Here is a 26089-nt window from a genome sequence, read left to right on the forward strand (position 1 = left end):
TGTAACTACTTAATACATTATTAATTATTCAGGGAGGTGGTTTTTTCTAGTTGCTACTATGTATATTTTGATTTTTTTTTTTTTTAGCACAGAGGCATAGTAATATTTGTATTAATGTTGGTGAAATGAAAATTTAAAATTTTATGTAAAATGAAAATTTAAATTGAATTTCAGAACAAAACTTTATCAAATATTTTCCAAAATAGGCTTTTGTGTTTTAAGTTTCTACCTTAATTAACTTTTAGGCCACCCTTGGTTTTTGAAATTTGAATCTGATTCTGTTTTCTTCAAGGGCCTGTATCTTCCTTTGTATACGCTTTGCATAGCAAGTACAGGTCATGCTTAGCATTGTGTTGAATGTTGAGTTTATTTCAGTGTAAACTGAATGCTTTAGCGTAAACTCAGCATTCAACACAATGTCTGGCATTAAATGATTTGCATAGTATTATGTAAAATGTTCTTGTACATTGTAGCAGTGAGGATATCTGATATAATTTTGACATCAGCATTATATATGTAATTACATTTCTATTTTTAAGTATTAAGGAATGGAAATATTTTAATCTTAATATACTTAGGAACTCTGGGATCTTCCCCAACCTCCCCACTTCCCCCAATAGCTGCTGCTGGAGATGGAATCCTATCTGAGGGTTAATAATAATGCCATCACCCATTCCCTTCCCCCAGCCTTATGCTAGAGCCTAGTTTGCCTGCAGCTGCAGTGCTAGGCATCTTTCAGGAAGTGACCTTGGCTTGTATTAATCAAATTCAGAACACACAAAAAAGCTTCTTGCTAACATGCTGACTTGATGTAAAATTTTATCGCATCCATTTTGTTTCAAAATGAGGCCATTTTGTAAAAAGAAGATATACAGAAGACCCCTAATTTATTATATATCTATATATACGTATATGTAAAGCTTTTGCAAACCATGTTGAAAAAACAACTAGGTCTATTTTAAAGTAGACTTTTTATTGCCAAATATGCATAAACTTAAATCATGAAGGCTTGGGAATTGTTACTAGAAAATTACTTCTTTTAATGTCGAATTAAGAAAAAACTATCAGCATCGAGTTTATTTACTATCTTAACTGACATTATATTGCTATATAAACTTTAAACACTGAAGTTATTTTGGAACCCTTCAGCAGTTATATTAAGTCACACACTTCTGTATATTTGCTTACTTTCACGTTTTCAGAAATAACTGGTATCTTACTTTGCTGGTTTGGATAAGAGCTAATATCCTACATGAAATCGTTTTCTTAGGCAATGGTGGTGCCTACAGGGTATTCTAAACGTAAAGGTAAATTTAAGTCAATGAGTCTGTTAAAATTCAACTACCTATTGTGTCAAAGAGAGAAATATTGCTAACTACAAATTTACAGTGTGTTCATTTAGGATTTGACTAATCATTTTAATAGTAGAGCAGTTAATACAGCGATTTCACTTTTATCCTGTGGTGCTTCAAAGGCATCTAGTTTTTAAATGTAGTCCAGTTAAGGTGTATGTAGTAGAGGTTTTCATTTTAGACTTGCTCAATGTTAAATATAGAATGTTGAAAATATTATTTAATGGATTAGTTTATTGGTTTCTGCATTTGAAGAAATTTACATAAATTAGTTAGGGAGCAGTTGTACCTACTGCCAAATGGTTCACTCCTGAGTTTATTGTACAGTTACTCCCAGGTACTGAAATATAAGAAAAGAAAAATTTAAACCTTAGCTAAGAGCTCTGCCTGCATTTCTGTGGATCCACATTATGAAAAGGATAGAGGAACATTACCTGTGTATAGTAATGGTTTGAGGAGAGGGTAGGGAAACTATGCAAATAAAAAAATTGGGGTATAGGCAAATCCTTCAGTTAGATGTCTTTATTATCTGAGTTACTTTTAAAGCATTTACTGGATACACAACCAGTATTATCTTTTTACCATCCTATAAATTGTTCATAGAATTGCAACCTCATGGAGGAAAATCCATCTCCTTTACCTGCCTAAATTTATTCTTTGTCTTGATACTAGCATTAATAATTGGTTTGTTAGATACTACAGGCTAAAGAAACTCAGATTTCAAGAAGAAAGAAGATAATTACTCGATCATTTCTCCCCTCAAACACCTGTTTAAAATATATTGTCTTGAATAAAATTGTCACCTTGAACTTATTGTGTTCTTTGCCTTCTCCACTCCCCTGTCCTTAAAAAAAATAAAAAGAAGGGAAAGCCTTATAAGAAAAGGAAAATGTGCAATCCTGGTAGCCAATGAGTTAATGTTCATTTGCAGCCCGAGGGGTCAGCATGCAGCCTGTGTTTCCTGATTGGCTGCTAAAAGGTGAAATTGAAACCACTGTAAACTTTTGACCCTGTAGCAATTCTTGTGGAACGCCTTCCACTGGTGGAGCCCAGAGCTTTGCTCACTTCCCCACCCAACTCTCCCACCCTCTTTCCTGTATTTATTTTGTGTGATCCTGCAGCACTGCATGCAGTTTTTCCAAAGTGGCAGGGAGAGAGAGGCAGAACAAGCGCAAGCAAGCGGCTTGCTTGAATGCCTGTTTTGGTAACCATTGGATAAGAGCTAATATTCAACTCAGCCAAAGATATCAGGCCTTTTATACTAATCTGCCAACCAGATTTTTAAGTTTTCTCCTTAATCTAAAGCTAATTTAAAAAAATTTAGGCTAGTTTAGTTCCATTGTTCATCAGTGGATAGTATCGTTGTATAAGCAAAAATGTATGGCATAATTTCCTGGATGTCTTGAATTAAAAATAAGTTTTAAGTTTTAGCTACCTTTACCCCATTTATGTTTCCTGTATCCCTATGTAATTTTTACACAAATGGCCATTTCATAGAAGGTTTTTTGTCTTTTGCCTTTATTATGAAGAAACTCAAATGGCATTTTGGTTATGACAACTCTGGACATAATTGCAGAAATTGTACAATTAATGCCTCCCCCTTTGGCTGAGATAAATGGTTTTGGATTTGTCTTGCTTTCACATGTAAATAGTGTTGAACAGTTAACAACCCCATGAAAAAGGCAGGGTAGTTTTTCTCTATTCTTTCCTTATACTCTCATGGGACTCTGGTCTTTTTAATTCTTCCTTTTATCCATGGTGTCTAGCACAATGTGGCACATGGATGCTTAGCAGATGCTTACTGAATGAACATAGCTTTCATTTTAGGAACTTTAGGTCTGTTTATACCTGCTTCCCTTTTCCTAATTAATTGATGGCAGCAACTGTGATTTGCTTATTTCCAAGTGCCAGTGCAGTGCCTGATTCTAATAGATACACAGCAAGCATTTAATTGAAATCGAATTAAAATCTAACACAAGATCATTTCAAGAAGCAGGACTTTACAAAATCTAGGTTTTCAGAAGCCAAGGCGTCTGTTTTCACTGCGTTATTATGAATTTTCAGGCTGATTCCGTATAGAACTAAATGTTTAATTTATTAAATATGTAGAATACATTATAAGTCAGCTTGATTCTTTCTAGTATATATCACAAGATATGTGGTAATACCTGTCTTTATTTTACTAGACATGCATATGCTGTAATTTGAAATAATTCCTTGTCCCCCACTCCCTTATCAAGAAGATTATAGCATTTAAAAAAGATTGTTATAAATGTCTTACCAATGTTCTCCTGGGAAGCAAATACATTTTTACTTAATTGAACATACAATAATGGACTAAGTAATGGGAAAAAAAAATTCTTAAACTGAGTTAAGTTTATATAGCTCAAAAAAAGTGGTACCATTTTATATAACTTTATTATTATTATTTTTTAAGACAGAGTCTTGCTCTGTTGCCCAGGCTGGAGTGCAGTGGCGCGATCTCAGCTCACTGCAACCTCTGCCTACGGGGTTCAAGCGATTCTCCTGCCTCGGCCTCCCGAGTAGCTGGAACTACAGGCGCCCACCACCACACCCAGCTACTTTTTGTATTTTTAGTAGAGATGGGGTTTAGCCATGTTGGCCAGGCTGGTCTCGAACTCCTGACCTCAGGTGATCTGCCCACCTCGGCCTCCCAAAATGCTAGGATTACAGGCATGAGCCACTGCACCCAGCCCCATTTTATATAACTTGAAATGTTCATATGATTTTCAACTTGCATTTGGTCTTCTCCTTTCATTATAGCTACAGATTAGCTGTAGTTGATTGTTGCAAGTGAAACCTGTGGTTAGAGTTTTGATCAAAGATACTTATCACTTGATAAATAATCCCAACTGCAAAAGTGTTGGATTTTGACGTTAAATTTAACACTAATATTTTGCAGCCTTTAACCTGAAATTCATTTGGTGACCCAGTCTACTCTGTAGTACTTTGAAGATTATTGAGCAACAGCTAGCTTTTCCCAGTGACAGTGGCTCCCCTTTTCTGTGATTTTAGGGAAGTGAGGAAGGAGATCCTGGGAGCAGTGCCAGTGGGAGCTTGGAAAGAACAATGGGTTTAATATGATTAATTGTAGAATCCTTGCCCCTTTTCATGTTCAACAGTAAAAGAAAAACATGTTTATAATATTCAGTGGCTGCTTTTTGCCCTGTTGGTGTTTCCAAGCATTATATATTATATAGTTTGGATTTTCCTGTGTATCAACTCCTCTCCCCAATTTTATTCTTTGTTCTGGCTTTGAGGCATATCTTCTCAGACTAGCTATTAACAAGGCTTAATTTGATGTTTGATTTCCCCTCACGTCCTTTTAGGTCTCTGGTGATGAAGGCTTAAAATAAAAACCTAAAACTAAAACAGGGGCCATGTTGTCCAAGATGGACTCAGATTCCTGAGCTCAAGCAATCTTCCTGCCTCAGCCTCCTGAGTAGCTGGCGTTACAGGTGTGCGCTGCCATGCCTGGCCTGGTGATGCAGGTTTTGGTAATGTAGATGTCATCAGTAAACCATTAATTCTACTAGAAAATTTAATGTCCCTGTTACCTTCTCAGATGTCTAATGTTTCTGGAACTTCTCACATTTAGTTTTATGTCAGTATGATTTGGTTTTTGTATGTGTGATTGATGAAAATCTGAATTGTGAAAAGGGATAATCTTGTTTTTGATAAAGAAAAAAAATACTGTCCTAAGAAATCTGCTAGGATTGTTGCCTTTGCAGAATCTTTTTTCCAGACAAGTTTAACTCACCAGCAAATTTACTAACAGTTCTATACTTACAGGATCCTGGTATATAGTAGTACTCCTTTCCAGGTTCCTGGTAGGCAAGCCAATCATTGTTCTGTGACTATTTGCGAATCTCTCTGGTTTAATTATACACTTCCTTGGAGGGGAGAATTTTGTACCTGGCTTGTCTTTGTGTTACTGAACTGAACTGGGTCTATTTTTCTGTGTATGCAATGGAAAGCTGAACACTAAGCACCAAGTTTTTGTAGGAAGAAAAGTTTATTGCAAGGCTGCTGTGTAAGGAGACAGGAGTTGGGCTCAAATCTGCCTCTCTGAACTAGAGTTTGGGTGCAGGTTTTATATTTGGAGAGTAATGAGGTGTGATCTGAGTGGATCCTGCCATGGGATGATGTCAAGGCTTGATTTGGTTGCATCTTCTGTCCTGCCATGTGGTGTCTGCTCTTATTCATTCGCTGTTCCTCAGTTTGATCATTTAGATTCCACCCATGGTTGCATTCTTTGTTCATCTGGGCATGCTGACTTTACATGATCTTCCACCTGGGGGTCCAGCAGTTAACATTTGGGTCCAAGGGTGCAGATTGGCAGGGTCAGCATTCCTTTGAGAAGTACGAAGACCAGCACTATAACACTGGAGTATTAATCTAGGCCCTCTCACCACCTTCTACACGAGGCAGCAGTAATTGTTTCCTAGGTCCATTATGCTACTAGATACTTTCTGACTCAAATTCCTTTCCTGGCCGGGCACGGTGGCTCATGCCTGTAATCCCAGCACTTTGGGAGGCCGAGGTGGGCAGATTTCTTGAGGTCAAGAGTTCGATACCAGCCTGGCCAATGTAGTGAAACCCTGTCTCTACAAAAATTAGCTGGGCATGGTGGCATGCACCTGTAATCCCAGCTACTCGGGAGGCTGAGGCAGGAGAATCGCTTTAACCCGGGAGGCAGAGGTTGCAATGAGCCGAGATCATGCCCCACTGCACTCTAGCCTGTGCAACAGAGTGAAACTCCATCCCCCACCCCCATCCCCCCAAAAAATCCTTTCCTTATCCCACCTCTTTTGTTCCTTAGGTGCTAACCCCACCCCATGACCCTCCTTCGTCTTTCCTAATAAAGGAAAAAACATAAGAGAACCATTTTAGAAGTCAAACCTGATTTAAAACAGGGCCAGAAGATCTTAGAGGTTCTTTACAGAAGTTCTGCCTACCTTTTCTCCGTTCATCTTACACGAATTAAATTGGATAGCATAAAAATTCAAGTTAAAAAACATAACATTCGGTCCGGTATGGTGGCTCACACCTGTAATCCCAACACTTTGGGAGGCCGAGGCAGACAGATCACTTGAGCTCAGGAGTTCAAGGCCAGCCTGGGCAACATGGTGAAACCCTGTCTCTACAAAAAATATAAAAATTAGCTGGGTATGATGGTGTGTGCCTGTAGTCCCAGCTCCTTGGGTAGTTGATGTGGGAGTATTGTTTGAGCCTCGGAGGTCGAGGCTGAGGTGAGCCATGACCATACCACCACACTCCAGCCAGTCTGGGCACAGAGTGAGATCCTGTCTCAAAAAGAAAAAGAAAAAAGCTACAACTTTGGTGCACAAAATTATTAAAAATATTATATAAAATTACCTTCAGGCTGTGTGTATAAGTAACATAAATGAATTTTATGTTTGGACTTGGGTTTCTTCCCCTAGATATCTCAGTATGCATATGCAAATATTTAAGAAATCTGAAAAAAATTCGAGACACTTATGCTTCTAAGCATTTTGCATAAGGGATAGTCACCCGGCACTACCTAGAGTTTTCTTTTTCCTTTGTTGTGAGCCACATGTAATGTGCCTCCCATTCCCTGCTCACTGATTTTCTCCCCTCTAATTTTAGTTTCAGAAACACAACAGACCTTTCCATAATGCAGCTAGATTGTGGTTGGCTCTCCCTATATACTGTCTGCAGACTACACTACGTGGAATGTCCATGGCTATAATATGTTTGTTACTTGTAACTTGTGAATATATCATTTTTCCTTTCCCCCATACCAACAGATCTACCAATTCCAGCATGAAAGCTATTAACTTTAGGGCGTAATTATGGTTGTTATCTTGGTTCGATACCATTGGAATTAGTGGCAATCATATTGTTGCTTTATTGTTAAATTTGGAAATTCATAAGGTAAAGTGAATGTTCTTACTGGTTCACTTATTTATTGCAGCAGAACCTGCACGCCATTTCTTCAAGTGCAAAAGCCTGCTGTTTATATGTTCATGTGTTTTATTGTAGATTATTTTGAAGAACGGTCTCTCATTTCCTTGCTAATATTTTGTTTTGGTGGTCAAAATGCATCCTTTTATAGAAGGCAAGAAAACATCTGAGCCTTTCCTCTGGCCTTTGCTTGTTGGCTTTATCCATCCCTCCCTCATCTGATAATTTTTGGACTAGGGCATTTAAGCATTTGATTCTGCCAGGGTATTAATGTTGTCTTTATTCTCTGTTGAGCACTGATTTTGGACAAATGAATACCCCCACAAGTTCAGAGTACCCATCTGTTTTGATCACTTTTCAAGATTCAGAACTGGTCTCCACCACCTCCACTTTGCATTATCCATTTTTACAAACTGTGACAGAGTACATATTATATATGCTATGCCTGACTTTTATTTTAATTAATTAATTAATTAATTTACTTATTTTTGAGATGGAGTTTTGCTTTTGTTGCCCAGGCTAGAGCGCAATGGCATGGTCTTGGGTCACTGTAACCTCTGCTTCCCTAATTCAGGTGATTCTCCTGCCTCAGCCTCCTGAGTAGCTGGACTACAGGCGCATGCCATCACACCAAACTAATTTTTTGTATTTTTAGTAGATATGGGGTTTCACCATGTTGACCAGGCTGGTCTCAAACTCCTGACCTCATGTGATCCACCCACCTCGGCCTCCCAAAGTGCTGGGATTCGAGGCATGAGCCACTGCGCCTGGCCCTGACTTTTGTTTTTTAATTTTTATTTTTTTGTGTGTGGAGATGGTGTCTTGCTATGTTGCTCAGGCTGATCTTGAACTCCTGGCCTCAAGCGGTCCTCCTACCTCAGCCTTTCAAAGTTCTGGGATTATAGGCATGAGCCACTGCGCCTGGCCCTATGCTTGACTTTTCAAACAGAAGTAGTGATTATATGGTACAATAAGACATCTACTCAAATTCCTAGGAAGAGGTGGTGTACTTGATAGCTTTTGTTTGTTTCATATATCCAGGGAAGGGAAAAATGGGAAGACTTAATTTTTTTGAGAGAGAATCTCGCTCTGTCACCCTGGCTGGAGTGCAGTGGCATAGTCTCGGGTCACTGCAACCTCTGCCTCCCAGGTTCAAGTGATTCTCCTGCTTCAACCTCCTGAGTAGTTGGGATTACAGGCGGATGCCATGTCGCCCGGCTAATTTCTGTATTTTTAGTAGAGTTGGGGTTTTGCCATGTTGGCCAGGCCAGCCTTGAACTCCTGACCTCAAGTGATTTGCCCGCCTTGCCTCCCAAAGTGCTGGGATTACAGGCGTGAGCCACCACGCCCGGCTGGAAGACTTAATTTGTGGGTGACTAATCATAATGCTTAAATGAAGAAAAGACAATAAAATTCAATCCCTCCTCTTCTTTTTGTCCTCAGGATCAAAATACTTGCTGGATGGTGGACTCAGAGACCAATAAAAATAAACTGCTTGAACATCCTTTGACTGGTTAGCCAGGTAATTCAGCTTTAGTTTGATTTGATCCTTTGTAATTTTTTGTCTTCAACCTTCTGAAGATATTACCCTCCTCTTTAATTTATGATTTAATTAAAACTATTTATGCTTCATGTTTTTCTCTTTAATGATTATTAAATGAATGTGCTTAGAGTACTTGAGTGAATACGTATGTGTATGTACAGTTGGCCCTTGAACAACTGAGGACTGGGGACACTGACCCCTTGTTCAGTAAAAAATGTGCAGAACTTTCGACTCCCCCCAAACTTAACTACTAATAACCTCCTCTTGCCTAGAAGCCTCACTGTTAATATAAACAGCTGATTAACACATATTTTGTATGTTACATATATTATATCCTGTATTCTTACAATAAAGTAAGCTAGAGAAAATAAAATGTTATTAAGAAAATTATGGCCAAGTGCAGTGACTCATGTTTATAATCCTAGCACTTTGAGAGGCTGAGGTGGTTAGATCACCTGAGTCCAGGAGTTTGAGAACAGTCTGGGCAACAGAGCGAAACCCCATCTCTACAGAGAATGCAAAAACTAGCCAGACATAGTGGCCTGTGCCTTAGTCCCTAGCACTAGAGACACTGAGGTGGGAGGATTGCCTGTGCCCATGAGGTTGAGGCTGCGCCTCAGCTGTGATTGTGCCACTGCACTCTAGCCTGGGCAACAGAATGAAACCCTGTCTCCAAAAAGAAAAAAAAGAAATAGAAAAAAGGAGAAAATTTTAAGGAGGCTGGACATGGTGGCTCACTCATATGCTCACAACTATGATCCTAGCACTTTGGGGATTGGAGGTGGGAGGATCACTTGAGGCCAGGAGTTGGAGACCAGCCTAAACAACACAGTAACACCCCCAGTTCTACAAAACACACAAAAAATTAGCTAGCAAGGTGGTGTGCGCTTGTAGTCCTAGCTGCTTGGGAGGCTGAGGTGGGAGATTGCTTGATCTCAGGAGTTTGAAGCTGCAGTGAGCTATGACTGCACCACTACACTTCAGCATGGGCAACAGTATGAAACCTTGTCTCTAGAAAATAAGTAAATAAATAAATAATTAAAAAGGAAAGACATGGCCGGATGCGGTGGCGCATGCCTGTAATCCCAGCACTTTGGGAGGCCAAGGTGGGTGGATCACCTGAGGTTAGGAGTTTGAGACCAGCCTGGCCAATGTGGTGAAGCTCCGTCTCTACTAAAAATACAAAAATTAGCCGGGCATAGTGGCGTGTGCCTGTAATCCCAGCTACTCGAAAAGCTGAGGCAGGAAAATCACTTGAACCTTGGAGGTGGAGGTTGTAGTGAGCTGAGATCATGCTACAGCACTCCAGCCTGGGCAACAGAGTGAGACTTCATCTCAAAAAAAAAAAAAAAAGTCATAAGGAAGAGAAAATATACATATTATTCATTAAGTGGATCATCATAAAGGTCTTCATTCTTTTCGTGAGGTTGAGTAGGCTTGAGGAGGAGAAAGAAGAGGAAATGTTGGTCCTACTGTCTTAGGCATGGCAGAAATAGAGAAAAATCTGCGTATAACAGAACAAATGCAGTTCAAATGTGTTGTACAAGGGGTTATGGTATTCGTATATATGTATATACATACAAATACAAACATAATTTTGGGGGAAGAGAAGAAATTCCCCCTCCTTATGTGTGAATATTTTAATGGCATTTAGTCAAACATCTGAATTAGCCTAACTTACATTTGCTGTTTCACCTTGTGAAGACAAATTTCCCCAGATTGCTTGTGCTGGCAAATAACATTTCATCTAACCCCTTTCTTAACTTTTTTTTTTTTTTTTTTTTTTTTTGAGACAGACTCCCTCTGTCACCCAGGCTGGAGTGCAGTGGTGTGATCTCGGCTTACTGCAGCTTCTGCCTCCTGGATTCAAGCAATTCTCATGCCTCAGCCTCCCAAGTAGCTGGGATTACAGGCGTGCACGGCCACATCCGGCTAAGTTTTGTATTTTTGGTAGAGATGGGATTTCACCATGTTGGCCAGGCTGAAACTCCTGGCCTCAAGTGACGTGCCTGCCTTGGCCTAAAGTGCTGGGATTATAGGCGTGAGCCACTACGCCTGGCCCCTTTTCTTAACTTTTAATATTACATCAGAATAGGAAAAATGAGAATAGAAAAAGCTGTCTAGTTGCCGAGAAAACAATCATGCTTTGCTTAGCTAAATTTCTTTTGGTAATCCCATCATTCTCTTGGTTAGCTAGGTTTGAAATCTGAGTTGTCTTTGAATCCCACCGTACTCTGATTCATTTGGTAAGCAGGCTTTATCTGGCTTTCTATTTTCATGTGTCCTGTATTTGTTCCACTTTCTGTTCCTAATTTTAGCTTCCGAGGCCAAGACCCCATAATTTCATGAGGGTGTTTTTCCTTGTCTCTACTGCTTCCTTGTCCACTCACTTAAAATTTAGCTAGATTTTCCTAAATGTATACTTTTAGCCAAGCTTATGTTGTGCTCTAAGTTTTGTGCTACCTTTCCTTGGCTTACAGAAAGAAAAAGTACAAACTCCCTTCTCTGACATTTCAAATGGTACTTTATCTGAGAATCTATCCAAGTTACCAGCCTTAGGTCTTGCAATTTCCCTGTAAAATCCCTCAGTTAATTGTGATATATACCCATTCTTCTGAACATGGCAGAGAACTATCTCCACAGGTTTTTTTTTTTTTTTTTTGAGACAGAGTTTGTTACCCAGCTTGGAGTGCAATGGCGCGATCTTGTTTCACTGCAACCTCCACTTCCAGGGTCAAGTGATTCTCCTGCCTCAGCCTCCTGAGTAGCTGGGATTACAGGCACGCGCCACCCTGCCCGGCTAATTTTGTATTTTTAGTAGAGACGGGGTTTCACCATGTTGGCCAGGCTGGTCTTGAACTCCTGACCTTAGGTGATCTACCTGCCTCGGCCTCCCAAAGTGCTGGGGTTACAGGTGTGAACCACTGTGCTCGGCCAATTTTTTCTTTTTTAAATACCTTTTATTTGGAAGTATACATTTACAAAAGTTACAAAAATATAGTATAAAGAACATCTGGATATCCGTTATCCAGACTTACCCACTTGCTTATTTGTATTTGTGCTGTCCTACTCTCTTTTCTCTTTTTCTACCCACGTAAACACACACACAATTTTTTTTTTTAACCATTTGAGGGTGAGTTACATATGTTATGCTTCTTTCCCCTAATACTTCTGTTGTATTCCTACAGATAGGGTCATTCTCTTATATAACCATGGTACAGTTAATAACTTCATAAATGGACATCGATGAAATCTATCGCCCATATTCCAGTTTTGTCAGTTGACCTAAGAAAGTCTCTTGTAGCATTTTCTATGCTTCCTGTATAGACTACAGTCTGGGGTCAGGTTCTGCATTCAGTTATTATTTCTCTTTGGCCTCCTTTTTCCTGGGATATTTTCACAGCCTGTCTTTATCTCTTATGACATTGGCATTTTTGAGAACACAACCCTTCCCTAACCCCTTTACTCTGTTCAGTGGAGATGTTCTTCATTTTATGTTGGTCTGAAATTTCCTTGTGATTAGATTAAGATGTTATGGATTCTTGGCAGGAATACTGCATCCGCAATGTGATACTCTGAGATGGAGTCATATGACGTCCGTCTGTCCCTTATTGTGATGCAAATTTTGATCCCTTGGCCAAGGTGTTGCCAGATTTCTCCACCATTTGGTTTTTTTGCCCTCTCTTTTGCCAAGCAATAAGCAGCTTGTGGGGAAACAATGCAGATATTCTGATTCTTTTCACGGTTTCTTCTAGATTTAGCATCCATTGACTCTTGTCTGATCCAGCTTTTTATTGTGATGATTGCAAAATGGTCATTTTTTTCTTTCCAGCATTCCTTTCCCATTACCCGTCGGATCTTGGCTGTATTCCATAATCAATAGCCCTATGTATTGGTGATGGATTCATGAATTCCTATTTTTTGAATGGTTTACAATTCACTTACCCTGCTTAATTATTTTAGTGCTCAAATTGTCCTAGAAGTTTGGCTAGTGAAACTCCTGTAAGTGGGCCGCTGTGTCCTTGTGGGGAATAAAAGTTTTAGAGACCAAGATCTCTCTGAGTGCTAGGTGTCCTCACTACTTCTGGGCTGTTTTCTCATCTTGGCCTTTTTAGTGGATAGAGCTAGGAAATAATATGCATGCTTATACACATACATGTACATATACATACTCATACAGTCATCCCTTCGTACCTGAGGGTGATTGGGTCTAAGACCCTTTGTGTGCACCAAAATCTGCTGATGCTTAAGTTCTTTAAACTATAAAGTAGCAATTGTATTTGCATATAACCCATGTTCAATTTCTTGTATGCTTTAAGTCATCTCTAGATTACTTATAAGAATCTAACACAGTGTAAATACTGTGTAGGTTGTTGTTAAACTGTATTTTTTAATTTGTATTTTATTGCTGTATTGTTTTTTTAAATTTATTTTTTGAGTATTTTTGATCCATGGATGCAGAATCCACGATACAGAGGGCCGACTTCGCATGTGTTCATTGAAACATACATATACATATTTTAGAAATCATGAGCTTATATCAGTATGTACGTCTTTATTCCATGTCTACAGGGTTCTTTGTACTTCATTTTTTATTTTTATGTCCCTTATTATTATGTGGGAATCCTGACTCTCAACCTTAGTACATTTACTCATTTGCCTAATCCTCTAATACATCTAAAATAATTTCAGAATTGGTTTTTTCATTTCACTGCAATAAACAAACTGAAAATGAGTGGAGCATTTGTCTATAATTCTTCTCCACCTCCCAATTTTACCCAAGACCGAGAGTAAACAGTTAAAATTTAAATTGCTTGGATTAGCCCTCCATACCCTTTCTCCACCCCACTTTTTTTTTTTTTTTTTTTTTTTTTTTGAGGCAGTCTTGGTTGCTCAGGCTGGAGTGCAGTGGTGCGACCTTGGCTCACTGCAACCTCTGCCTTCTGGGTTCATGGGATTCTTCTGCCTCAGCCTCCTGAGTAGCTGCAACTACAGGTGCGTGCCACCATGCCCAGCTAATTTTTGTATCTTTAATAGAGACAGGGTCTCACCACGTTGCCCAAGCTGGTCTCCAACTCCTGAGGTCAGGCGATCCGCCCGCCTCTGCCTCCCAAGGTGCTGGGATTACAGGAGTGAGCCACCACGCCCGACCTCCACCCCACTTTTACTTCCCACCTTACTTTCTGTATAAACTAGTTAGGGTATTCATTTGAAACAAAATTAAGTTTATTTACTTGTTTGCTTATGCTGCCTCCCATTCTGATTTTTATTTTTGTAATATGTAGAATAATAACATGCTTTCAAAAGTCAAAATTATACAAAAGGCATACATTGCTTTTGTATCCCTTCCATGCCATTTTTCTTCAGTTTTCTTAGGTAACCAACTTAAATGTTTTCTGTCTTATCCTTCCCATTTCTTTTTTTTGATGGTATCTGTATGTTTTATTTATTTATTTATACAAAAGATAGCGTACTATATATACTCTTGCACTTTGCTTTTTTTCCTACTTAACTGATATCTCCTGGAAATAATGCCCTATCATGCCAAAGAGATCTTTCCCATTCATTTATTTTAATTGTAGTAAAATTTACAGAATATAAAATACAACTTTTTTTTCTTTTAAAGACTGAATTTGGCTCTTGTCTCTCAGGCTGGAGTACAGTGGTGCAATCTCAGCTCACTGCAACCTCTGCCTCCCAGGTTCAAGAGATTCTCCTGCCTCAGCCTCCCAAGTATCTGGGACTACAAATGCCCAACAGCATGCCCGTCTAATTTTTGTATTTTTTTTTAGTAGAGACAGGTTTTCACCATGTTGACCAGGCTGGTTTCAAACTCCTGACCTCAGGTGATCCACCCGCCTCAGCTTCCCAAAGTGCTTGGGAGTAAGCTACAGGTGTAAGCCATTGTGCCCGGCCAGAGGACCAACTTTTGATTAAATTATAGATATCCAGTTCCAGGGCTATTTGTAGAAAAGATGTTCCTTTTTTCTTGGTTTGCTTTGGTAACTTGATTAATTGATTATATTTGCCAAAGTCTCTTTCTGGCCTCTATTCAGTGCCATCCTCATGCCCATATACATTGTCTGATTATAGGACTTTATTTATTTTTTTGAGATAGAGTCTCGCTCTGTCACTCAGGCTGACGTGCAGTGGCGCACCCTCAGCTCACTGCAACCTCTGCCTCCCTGGTTCAAGTGATTCTCCTGCCCCAGCCTCCTGAGTAGCTGGGATTACAGGTGCCCACTACTAAGCCCAGCTAATTTTTTTTTTTTAAGTAGTGACGGGGTTTTGCCATGTTGTCCAGGTTGATCTCGAGCTCCTGACTCAGGTGATACACCCTCCTTGACCTCCCAAAGTTCTGGGATTATAGGCATGAGCCACTGCACCTGGCTGACTTGAACTTTTAAAGTCTCTTTTATTTGTTCTTTTATCCTGAAACTAGGAAACAAATACAATACCCTCTCCACCAGATTTCACTTGGAATACTTATAAATTTGGATGAAGTCATCTCTTGTTCAGGTTCCCTAAATTTACTGAGTCATTGGCTGCCACTAAGTGACCTTCCATCTGTGAAGCTAGTCCCTGTAAACCAAGAACAGGTACCAGGCCCATAAACATTGACTTCTTGTATAATGTAAAATCTTTGTTTTCTTTTTAAAAAAATTTTTTAATTTATAAGATGTTTATTTAAAATGTTTTGTGGAAGTGAGGTATCACTATATTGCCTAGGCTAGTCTTGAACTCCTGGGCTCAAATAATCCCCCTGCATTGGTTTCCCCAAGTGTTGGTGCTGGGATTACAGGTGTGAGCCACTGTGTCCTGCCCTACTATCTTTGTTATAGTGGTGGACTTGTCATACGATTATATTATAATTATATGACATTATATCATTATATTGTTCTTAATTATAAGAAATAGTATATGACCTAGATTGTACAATGATTTGTCCAGTTATCCTGGTAAATTTTATTTACCTTTGTCTTGACGGAATTTGATTAAGCCTATGCAAATAACGTTATTAACATGAAAAAATAGACTTAGTTTTTACTTTATTTTGAGGTGGGGTCTCACTCTCTTGACCTACCTGGAGTGCAGTGGTATGATTGTGGCTCATTGCAATCTTGAATTCCTGGACTCAAGCAGTCCTGCCTCAGCCTCCTGAGTAGCTGGGACTACAGGCATGCGCCACCGCTCTCAAATGCCATTTAAAAATTTTCCTACAAAAGCATAATATATTAAATTGTGAGCTAGAGGTAGATGAAGAAGAAAGGAAAAGGGCTTCCTCATATAGCCATCAGAAAACAGAATATTAAAAAATAACACCAGCCTGGGCAATATGGTAAGACCCCGTCTCTACAAAAATAAAAAATAAAAACATTAACTGGGCATTGTGTGTCACATGCCTGTGGTCCCAGCTGCTGGGGAGGCTGAGGTAGGAGGATCGCTTGACGCTGGGAGGCTGATGCCTCAGTGAGCCGTGATCGCACCATCGCACCCCATCCTGGGCAAGAGACCAAGACCCTGCCTCAAAACAAAACAAAAAACGGCTGGGCATGGTGGCTCATACCTGTAGTCCCAGCACTTTGGGAGGCTGAGGCAGGTTGATCACCTGAGGTCAGGAGTTCAAGACCAGCCTGACCAACGTGGTGAAACCTCTCTCTACTAAAAACGTAAAAATTAGCTGGGGGTGGTGATGGGTGCCTGTAATCCCAGCTACTCGGGAGGCTGAGGCATAAGAATCACTTGAACCCCAGGGGGCAGAGGCTGCAGTGAGCCGAGATCGCACCATTGCATTCCAGCCTGGGAAACAGAGTAAGATTGTGTCTCAAGACAAAAAACAAAAGACAAAAGAAAAAACAAAAGAAAAAACCATAGTCTGAAACAACTGGTTAAATTTCTGCCACTAGTTCATTTAGTCCTATGCAGTTAATTCTGTTTCTCTTAGGCTTATTCTGTAGTCACTTTTAAGTTGTCTGCTTAGATGTTTAAGATACCTAGACATTTTGGCCTTTAGTATAGTTTTAAAATTTAAAAATGTTAGCTCAGTAGTTCATTGCCCAGAGTATTTCATAAATTATCAAGATTTAAAGGTACTTTGTACAGTCTTTTGCATGAGAATCTTCAACTGTCCTTTGAAGACAAATTATAGCATATGAGTCCTCAAGGGAAGCATCGGAGAGTAGCAGAAGCCATCACCCATTTGACAGTAAGACATTTCTGGTACTCTTCATTCATCTTTATAGATGTGCATTTTCATCTGATGCCCCTTTCTCTTTGGCCTGAAGGATATAATTTCATTTCCAGAATTGTTTATCACTGATTGTCTCAACTTTTATTTATCTGAAAATGTCTTTATTTCACCCTATTTTTGAAGGTTTGGTTCACTGGATAGAAAATTCTGGGTTGTTGATTTTTTTATTTCAGCACTTTAAAGTTGTTCTGTGGTGTTGTAACCTCCTCCCCTTTTTTTTTTTGAAGAGTTGATTTTTAATCTTGTTCTCAGTATGTGTGGTCTTTTTTTCTTGTGGATACTTTTAAGATTTTCTTTTTACGTTTGGTTTAAAATAGTTTGACTATGTATTTAGGTCTAGTTTTCTTTGTATTTATCCTGCATGGTATTCTTTGAGCTTCTTGGATTTGTAAATTTGTGTTTTCATCAAATATGGAAAGTTTTGGCCATTCTTCAAGTACTTTTTCTGCATCTCTGCTTCAATTTAATTCTCCTTCCTCTGGGACTCCAATCATACTTGCTAGGCCATTTGATTTTCTTTTGTTTTGAGGTGGAGTTTCGTTCTTGTACCCCAGGCTGGAGTGCAGTGGTGCTCTTTTGGCTCACTGCAACCTCCGCCTCCTGGGTTCAAGCAATTCTCCTGCCTCAGCTCCTGAGTAGCTGGGATTACAGGTGCTTGCCACCACACCTGGCTAATTTTTTTTGTATTTTTAGTAGAGATGGGGTTTTGCCATGTTGGCCAGGCTGGTCTTGAACTCCTGACCTCAGGTGATCCATCTGCCCCAGCCTCCCAAAGTGCTGGGATTACAGGTGTGAGCCACCAGGCCCAGCCGACCATTTGATATGTTTATAAGTCATTAAGGTTCTAACCATTTTTCTTCAGTCTTCTTCCTTTCTCTTCTTCAAATTGGATAATTCTTTTGATATCCCTTCAAGTTCAGTGACTTTTTCTGCCAACTCAATTTCTAAGCACTATTCAACAATGAAATACTTTTACCTCTTATTTCATTCCTACAGCCCTGTGTTGGGGTTGATAGAGGCTTCAGAAAAGGTAACAGGTTTATCAAAGTTATATACCTAGTTTGTGGCAGAACTGAAATTAGAACCTAACTTGATTGTTTACAAACTACAGACCATTTTCTTTCCATAATGCCATGATCTTTATCTTCTAATAAGTTGCTGTCAGTTAAAATGTTCATACTGTAACTGGTGTGAGTGGTGGTCCTGGTAGCGGATGCTACTTAATTAACAACATTGTCAAATTGCAGAAAATTGAAGTTCTTCTCATTTAAAAAACGGTTTTCAGTTGAAGAATTTAAGTATCCTGAAGTCAGTAATACCTTGAACTAATCTTTTTAGATGACATTCCTCCAGCAGTGAAAGTATGTCTGTGGTTACTCAACAGAAAAATTTAATTCTAATGACAGACTGTTTTTTTGAGACAGAGTTTTGCTCTTGTTGCCCAGGCTGGAGTGCAGTAGTGTGATCTCCTCTCACTACAATCTCTGCCTCCCAGGTTCAAGCGATTTTCCTGCCTCAGCCTCTCAAGTAGCTCGGGTTACAGGCATCCGCCACCACACCCTGCTAATGTTTTGTATTTTGTAGAGATGGAGTTTCACCATGTTGGCCAGGCTGGTCTTGACCTCCTGACCTCAGGTGATCCACCTGCCTCGGCCTCCCAAAGTGCTGGGACTACAGGCCTGAGCCACTGCACCCGGCCACCACATACGTTTTAAAATCAAGACTTTGGAATCCCAGACTGCGGTATCATTCATTGTCTCGGAAATTAACTCTTTGGAGTACCTCCTCTTGAGTTGATGGATTTTTTTTTTTTTTTTTTTTTTTTTTTTGAGACAGTCTCGCTCTGTTGCCCAGGCTGGAGTGCAGTGGTGCGTCGCGGCTCACTGCAAGCTCCACCTCCCGGGTTCACTCCATTCTCCTGCCTCAGCCTCCGGAGTAGCTGCGACTACAGGCGCCCGCCACCACGCCCGGCTAATTTTTTTTGTATTTTTAGTAGAGATGGGGTTTCACCATGTTAGCCAGGATGGTCTCGATCTCCTGACCTCGTGATCCGCCTGCCTCGGCCTCCCAAAGCGCTAGGATTACAGACGTGAGCCACTGCGCCTGGCCAAGTTGATGGATTTAACTTCATGAAAATTTTTAAACCAGTTTTTGTGTCATCTTAGTTAAAATAAGAACATTATAAAGTTTGGTAAAGGAATGAAAGCATTACTAAGCCAGGATAATTATCAAGTGCCTTTATATAAACATTTTCCTAAAATTCTAGTTTCTAAAGTTCTGTTAGAACCTTATAAGATAATTAGTAGTATGGGAAAAGAATTACTGGCATAAGAATGACATTCTTAGTTGTAGTAACCGTATATTTATATTTCTCCTTCAGTTTATTTTGAAATTAAATTTCTAAAGTTTAAAGGTAAACATTTTAATTATAAATTCTGCATTCATGCCTTCTAATTAAAATATGAACCAAATTCATAGAAATCCTATAAGGCAACGATTACTTAAAAACCAAACAACTTAAGTGAATTGTTTTTAGGTTTGTATTGCCTTATGTATAAAAATCAACATTTGTTGATTTTGCCTTGGATATAACACCTCTCATATTTAAAGCCAGAAAACACATGTTGCCAGATGGGAACTAGGAAGAGTAGTAGTCTCATCTTGGCATCATTTTCTTCATAATGACCAGTTCACTTGTTTTACACATAATCTCAGGTTCTTTCCAGCTTTAATTTTCTATGATTGACGGATCAGATTCTACATTACGGAACCTTTTAGTTACCTGCTAACTGCTGTTACACCACTCAAGATGCGTGATAACCAGTCAGATTAGAAGATGAAAGTCTTGGCCAGGTGCAGTGGCTCATGCCTGTAATCCTAGCACTTTGGGAGGCCTAGGTGGGCAGATCACTTGAGGTCAGGAGTTCGAAACCAGCCTGGCCAACATGATGAGATCTCGTCTCTACTAAAAATACAAAACAATTAGCCTGGCGTGTTGGCAGGCACCTGTAATCCCAGCTACTCAGGAGGCTGAGGCAGGAGAATCCCTTGAACCTGGGAGGTGGAGGTTGCAGTGAGTGGAGATTGTGCCACTGCACTCCAGGCTGGGCGACAGAGCGAGACTCTGTCTCAAAAAAAAAAAAAAAAAAAAAAAAAAAAAAAGAGAAGATGAAAGTCTTCATGATATTGCTGGGCACGGTGGCTCACGCCTGTAATCCCAGCACTTTGGAAGGCTGAGGTGGGCAGAATACCTGATTTTTTTTTTTTTTTTTTTTTGGAGACAGTTTTGCTGTTGCCGCCCAGTCTGGAGCGCAGTACCGCGATCTCAGCTCACTGCAACCTCTGCCTTCCGAGTTCAAGTAATTCTCCTGCCTCAGCCTCCTGAGTAGCTGGGATTACAGGCACCCGCCACCACGACTGGCTAATTTTTGTATTTTTAGTAGAGATGGAATTTTGCCACGCTGGCCAGGCTGGTCTCGATCCCCTGACCTCAGGCAATCCGCCTGCCTTTGCCTCCCAAAGTGATGGGATTACAGGTGTGAGCCACCACGCCCAGCCTTTAAAATGACCTTTTTTTTTTTTTTAAAGACACTCTCACTCTGTCACCCTAGTTGGAGTGCAGCGGCGCCATCTCGGCTCACTGCAACCTCTGCCTGTTGGGTTCAAGCGATTCTGCTGCCTCAGCTCCCTGAGTAGCTGGGACTACAGGCACGTACCACCATGCCCAGCTAATTTTTTATTTTTAGTAGAGATGGGGTTTCACCATGTTGGCCAGGCTGGTCTCAAACTTCTGACCTCAGGTGATCCGCCCGCCTTGGCCTACCAAAGTGTGCTGGGATTACAGGAGTGAGCCACCACGCCTGGCCTTAAAATAATTTTTTACAGGAGATATCTATAGGGATAGGTCAAGAATCTACAGTCCTTGGCTGGCGCTTAACTTGCAAAGGACCGTGATTTATAACTGGTTTTAAATTTTTTAGACTGGTGGGATCTTCCACTTGGTGTGGCTGGAAAAGAGTGATTTATTATTGGAAGTCCAGTAAGGCCAGTTCTATCTAAACTGTTAGAATAGCTGTAAGTGATGTGGCTTTACTGAGATTCCATGAAAAAAATAAAATATTTGATGCCATGACATAAGGCTTTTTTTTTTTTTAATTTTTTGGTGGGATTGGTTAAAAGCTTGGCTCTGAAGTTAGAATGACTTGGATTTAATTTCTAGCTCCACCACTTACTGGATGTATGACTTTGGGTTGAGTTTACCTTTCGATGTCTCAGTGTTTTCAAGTGAAGTAGGGATAATATTGAACTGTACTTTCATCTAGCTCACTATTCTGTGTTTCATAGGGCTGTCAGGAGGATTAAATGGGAGTAATAAGTGGAATGCATTTATCACAATACCTCACTCAGATGTTAGAGCAAGTATTTGTTCACATAGTGATTTTTTACTTTAAACACTAAAATTACACATTATTTTTATATAAATAAAGAGTATATATTATTTGAATTATGAAGTATACTTTGAAGGCTATTCTTGAACCCACTCCTTGAACTGAAGAACGGGACGGTCAGTTCGTATAGTGTACCTGCTCCCTGAATCTTTCTTCCCGAAGTCATCCTGCTTCTATCCTTGAAGTCACAGCTATCTTTGAGTTAATAATTAACTTCATTTAAAAAACTTTGAAAAAGTCTCATTTGGATGTGTCCTTGAACAATGTTTAGTTTTCTTGTTTTTTTTAGCTTTCCAAAAATATAATGGATGTAATGTGGTGGCTTTCTAAATTGTAAGATCCAACCATGTTGTGTATAATTCATTTTTACCATCCCTGTATTGTATTCTTTTGCATGGCTTCATTAGAATTCATTTTTCAAATCTGCAATTGATAAACATTAGAGTTTCTTCTAGCTTTTGAAGTGTGAACAACGTTGCAATGATCATTTTTTGTATCTCGTTTAAAATATTTTTATTGCTCTAAAGTTTTAAACAAACTTGATTTTAACTGCTAATATATTTGCTTTCAATGTGGTGGTACTACTTTAGAAAAAGTAAATTTTCTTTCTTTTTTTAAATTTTAGACAGGGTCTCACACTGTTGCCCAGGCTGAACTGCAGTGCCATGATCTTGGCTTACTGCAGCCTCTGCCGCCCAGTCTCAAGCGATACTCCCACCTCAGCCTCTTGAGTAGCTGGGACTACAGGCGCTTGCCACCACACTTGACTAATTAATATTTTTACATTTTTGGTAGAGATGGGGATTTCAACATGTTGCCCAGGGTGGTCTCGAACTGAGCTCAAGCGATCCACCTGCCTCGGCCTCCTGAAGTGCTGGGATTACAGGTGTGAGGCACCATACTAAGCCAAAAGTAAATTTTCTTACTGAAATGTTTTATACATTGTTTCTTGTTTTATTAGCTAAGTTATTTCATATCACTTTTTATTTATCATAGGATTAGCAATAAGCACTGTAATTTTCCTTAAGTACTTGATTTCAAAAAACCAACTTTATTAAAGCATAATATACATACAAAATATTTACCAACCTTACATTTACAATTTAATGAGTTTTGACAAATGTGACCATCACCACAGTCATGATATAAAACATTTCTACCATTCCCTAAAGTTCTTTGTGCCTCTGTGCAATCAGTCATCTCCACTGGTCCCTAGCAACCAGAAGAAACCTCCAACTGGTCTGCTTTATGTCACTACTGTTTTACCTTTTCTAAAATTTCATGTGAATAGTATTCCCATTTTGTGTGTGTTACACCTTTTATAATTGTCCCACCATTCTTGGATATTCTTTTCTTTTTCATTTTCTCTTTCTTTTTCAGTTTTGGGGAGTTTGTATTGATCTTAAGGCTCTCTGGTCTCCCACTCCTATGTTTGGTCTACTGATGAGCCCATCAAAGGCATTTTGCATTTCTGTTAGTCTTTTTTGATTCTAACCTGTGCTTTTTTTTTTTTTTTTGGGAGGGGGAGATGGAGTTTCGCTCTGTCGCCTAGGCTGGAGTGCAGTGGTGCGATCTCGGCTAACTGTAACCTCTGCCTCCCGGGTTCATGCCATTCTCCTGCCTCAGCCTCCCGAGTAGCTGGGATTACAGGTACTCGCCACCAAGCCCAGCTACTTTTTGTGTTTTTAGTAGAGATAGGGTCTCTCCATATTGTCCAGGCTGGTCTTGAACTCCTGACCTCAGGTGATCCACCGGCCTCGGCCTCCCAAAGTGCTGGGATTACAGGTGTGAGCCACCGCACCTGGCCTAACCTTTCCTTTTGATTCCTCCTTAGAGTTTTTATCTCTCTGCTTACATTACCCATCTCTTCTTGCATGTTGTCTGCTTTCCCCATTAGAGCCCGTTAACATATTAATCATAGTTAAGATTCCATGATTGGTTTTTAGATTTTTAGAATAAATGTTTTTAAAGAACCAGGCTTCTGCCGGGCGTGGTGGCTCACGCCTGTAATCCCAGCACTTTAGGAGGCCGAGGTGGGCGGATCATGAGGTCAGGAGATTGAGACCATCCTGGCTAACGCAATGAAACCCCATCTCCACTAAAAAATACAAAAAAATTAGCCAGGCGTGGTGGCGGGCGCCTGTAGTCCCAGCTACTCTGGAGGCTGAGGCAGGAGAATGGCGTGAATGTGGGAGGCGGAGCTTGCAGTGAGCCAAGATCACGCCACTGCACTCCAGCCTGGGCGATAGGGCGAGACTCTGTCTCAAAAAAAAAAAAAAAAAAAAGAACCTGGCTTCTTTACTGTTTACTAGCGAACTTTGGAAGCATCATTTACATGTATTATCAAACCTGTTTTTATTTTATTTTATTTTGAGATGGAGTTTCGCTCTGTCGCTCAGGTTGGAGTGCCGTGGCACAATCTCTGCTCACTGCAACCTCCACCTCCTGGGTTCACGCGGTTCTCCTGCCTCAGCCTCCTGAGTAGCTGGGATTACAGGTGCGTGCCACCATGCCTGGCTAATTTTTGTTATTTTTAGTAGAGACAGGGTTTCACCATGTTGGCCAAGCTGGTCTCGAACTCCTGACCTCAAGTGATCCTCCTGCCTTGGCCTCCCAAAGTGCTGGGATTACAGGCATGAGCCACCACACCTGGCTGAAACCTATTTTTATTATTAGTGCTCATGATTTCTCATTTAAGAATATACATAATCACACAGCTTACACACAAATATTCATAGCAACAGTATTCATAGTAGCAGAACAACAACTTAAATTTCCATCAGCTGATAGGTGCATAAATAAAATGTGGTGTATCCATACAGTGAAGTATTAGCCAGAAATAAAAAGCAATGAAGTACAGTCATGTAGCATATAACAATGTTTCAGTCAATGAAGGAATAGGACCACATATATGACAGTGGTTCCATAAGATTATACTGTATTTTTACTGTACCTTTTCTATGTTTAGATATGCTTAGATACACAAATACCATTGTATTACACTTGCCTGCGCTATTCAATATATTAACATGCAGTATAGGTATAGGTTTGTTGCGTAGGAGCTGTAGGCTATACCATATAGCCTAGATTTAGGCTGTATTATCTAGGTTTGTTAAGGGACACTCTGTGATGTTTGCACAATGATGAAATGGAATGAAGGCACATTTCTCGTAATGTATCCCTGTCATTAAGCTAGGCATGACTGAACCGATATGTGCTACAATGTTGATGTATTTGAAAACACTATGCTAAGTAAAAGAAGCCAGTCACAAAGAACTAGATATTGTGTGATGCCATTTATATTAAATGTCCTGAATAGGTAAATCCATAAAGACGCAAATACGTAAGTGGTTGTCAAGGGCAGGGGTGAATAGGTGGAAGGTTGGGTTATATGAGGTTGAGGGGGTGGGAATGGGAGCAGGGGGGAATAACAGCTAAGGGATTTTGAGTTCTTTTTGGGATAATGAAAATGTTCTAAAATTGATTACAGTGAGAGTTACACAACTCTGAAATATACTAAAAGCCAGTCGTGCACTTTAAGCATATAATATGTGAATTAATATCTCAGTAAAGCTGTTAAAGAATCTAGCTGATGTATGCAAAACTGCTAAGAACACTATGATGTCATACAGAAATTTTATGGAAAAATATTACTTTCCTCATGACACTGATCTCAAAAGGTTTCCTATCTCAAACATTGTTAGATTTCAAAAATAAGATGTTAATTGCACTCACTTCAAATTTTAAAAAACCTTATTCAGTCTTTTTATAGAGGTCATCCTGTAATTATATGGTCAATATGAATTCCAGCAGCATATCTTTTTCATGTGTCAAGAAAGTTTACATTGAAAAGATTGCATTCTTAAAAAGACCATACCCAGATCCATCTCCACTTCCTGTTTGTCCACTAAACATTTGTGAGATATTTATGGCTATCTTGCGCAATGCCTCCAGAAATCAATGTTTGCTCTCAAGTTTATAACTACAGTTTAAAAAAAATTCACCAAAAAATTCATAATCCTGGTGGATCTGCTGTTTAGGACTAGTTAGTTAAGTGCAGTATATACAAGTAGAAAAGCTCCAATTATTTTACTTGAGATGATCTGATGGCTAATTCTCTCACTTCCTTTGTGTGTGTGTGTGTGTGTGTGTGTGTGTGTGTGTATTTTATATATTTTATATATATATATTTTTTTATTTTTATTTTTTTTGAGATGGAGTCTTGCTGTGTTGCCCAGGCTGGAGTGCAGTGGCACGATCTTGGCTCACTGCAAGCTCCACCTCCCGGGTTCACGCCATTCTCCTGCCTTAGCCTCCCAAGTAGCTGGGACTACAGGCGCCCACCACCACGCCCAGCTAATTTTTTGTATTTTTAGTAGAGACAGGATTTCATCATGTTGGCCAGACTGGTCTCGAACTCGTGACCTCAGACAATCTGCCCGCCTCGGCCTCCCAAAGTGGTGGGATTTCAGGCGTGAGCCACCGCGCATGGCCGCATTTATAATTTTAAAAGCTTAAATGTGTT

The 26089-nt window shown here is 39.8% G+C and overlaps 1 protein-coding gene across 4 annotated transcripts in view, besides 1 other annotated feature; it reads left to right on the forward strand.

The window, feature by feature from the left end:
* Positions 1 to 26089, forward strand: part of NCOA3 (nuclear receptor coactivator 3) — a 154986-nt gene that overhangs the window by 72531 nt on the left and 56366 nt on the right. For all 4 annotated transcript variants that reach the window (NM_001174088.2, NM_181659.3, NM_001174087.2 and 1 more), the window contains exon 2: positions 8766 to 8844. The gene's annotated coding sequence lies outside the window, so the exon portion shown is untranslated. The remainder of the gene's footprint in view (positions 1 to 8765; positions 8845 to 26089) is intronic.
* Positions 15275 to 15475: a silencer, noted in NCBI's record as "peak4234 fragment used in MPRA reporter construct". NCBI's record gives its function as "represses an SCP1 promoter by STARR-seq MPRAs in K562 erythroleukemia cells {active_cell/tissue: K562}" and the evidence as "EXISTENCE:reporter gene assay evidence [ECO:0000049][PMID:32103011]".

Source organism: Homo sapiens, chromosome 20, assembly GCF_000001405.40.
Source record: "Homo sapiens chromosome 20, GRCh38.p14 Primary Assembly".
NCBI classification, from domain to species: Eukaryota; Metazoa; Chordata; class Mammalia; order Primates; family Hominidae; genus Homo; species Homo sapiens.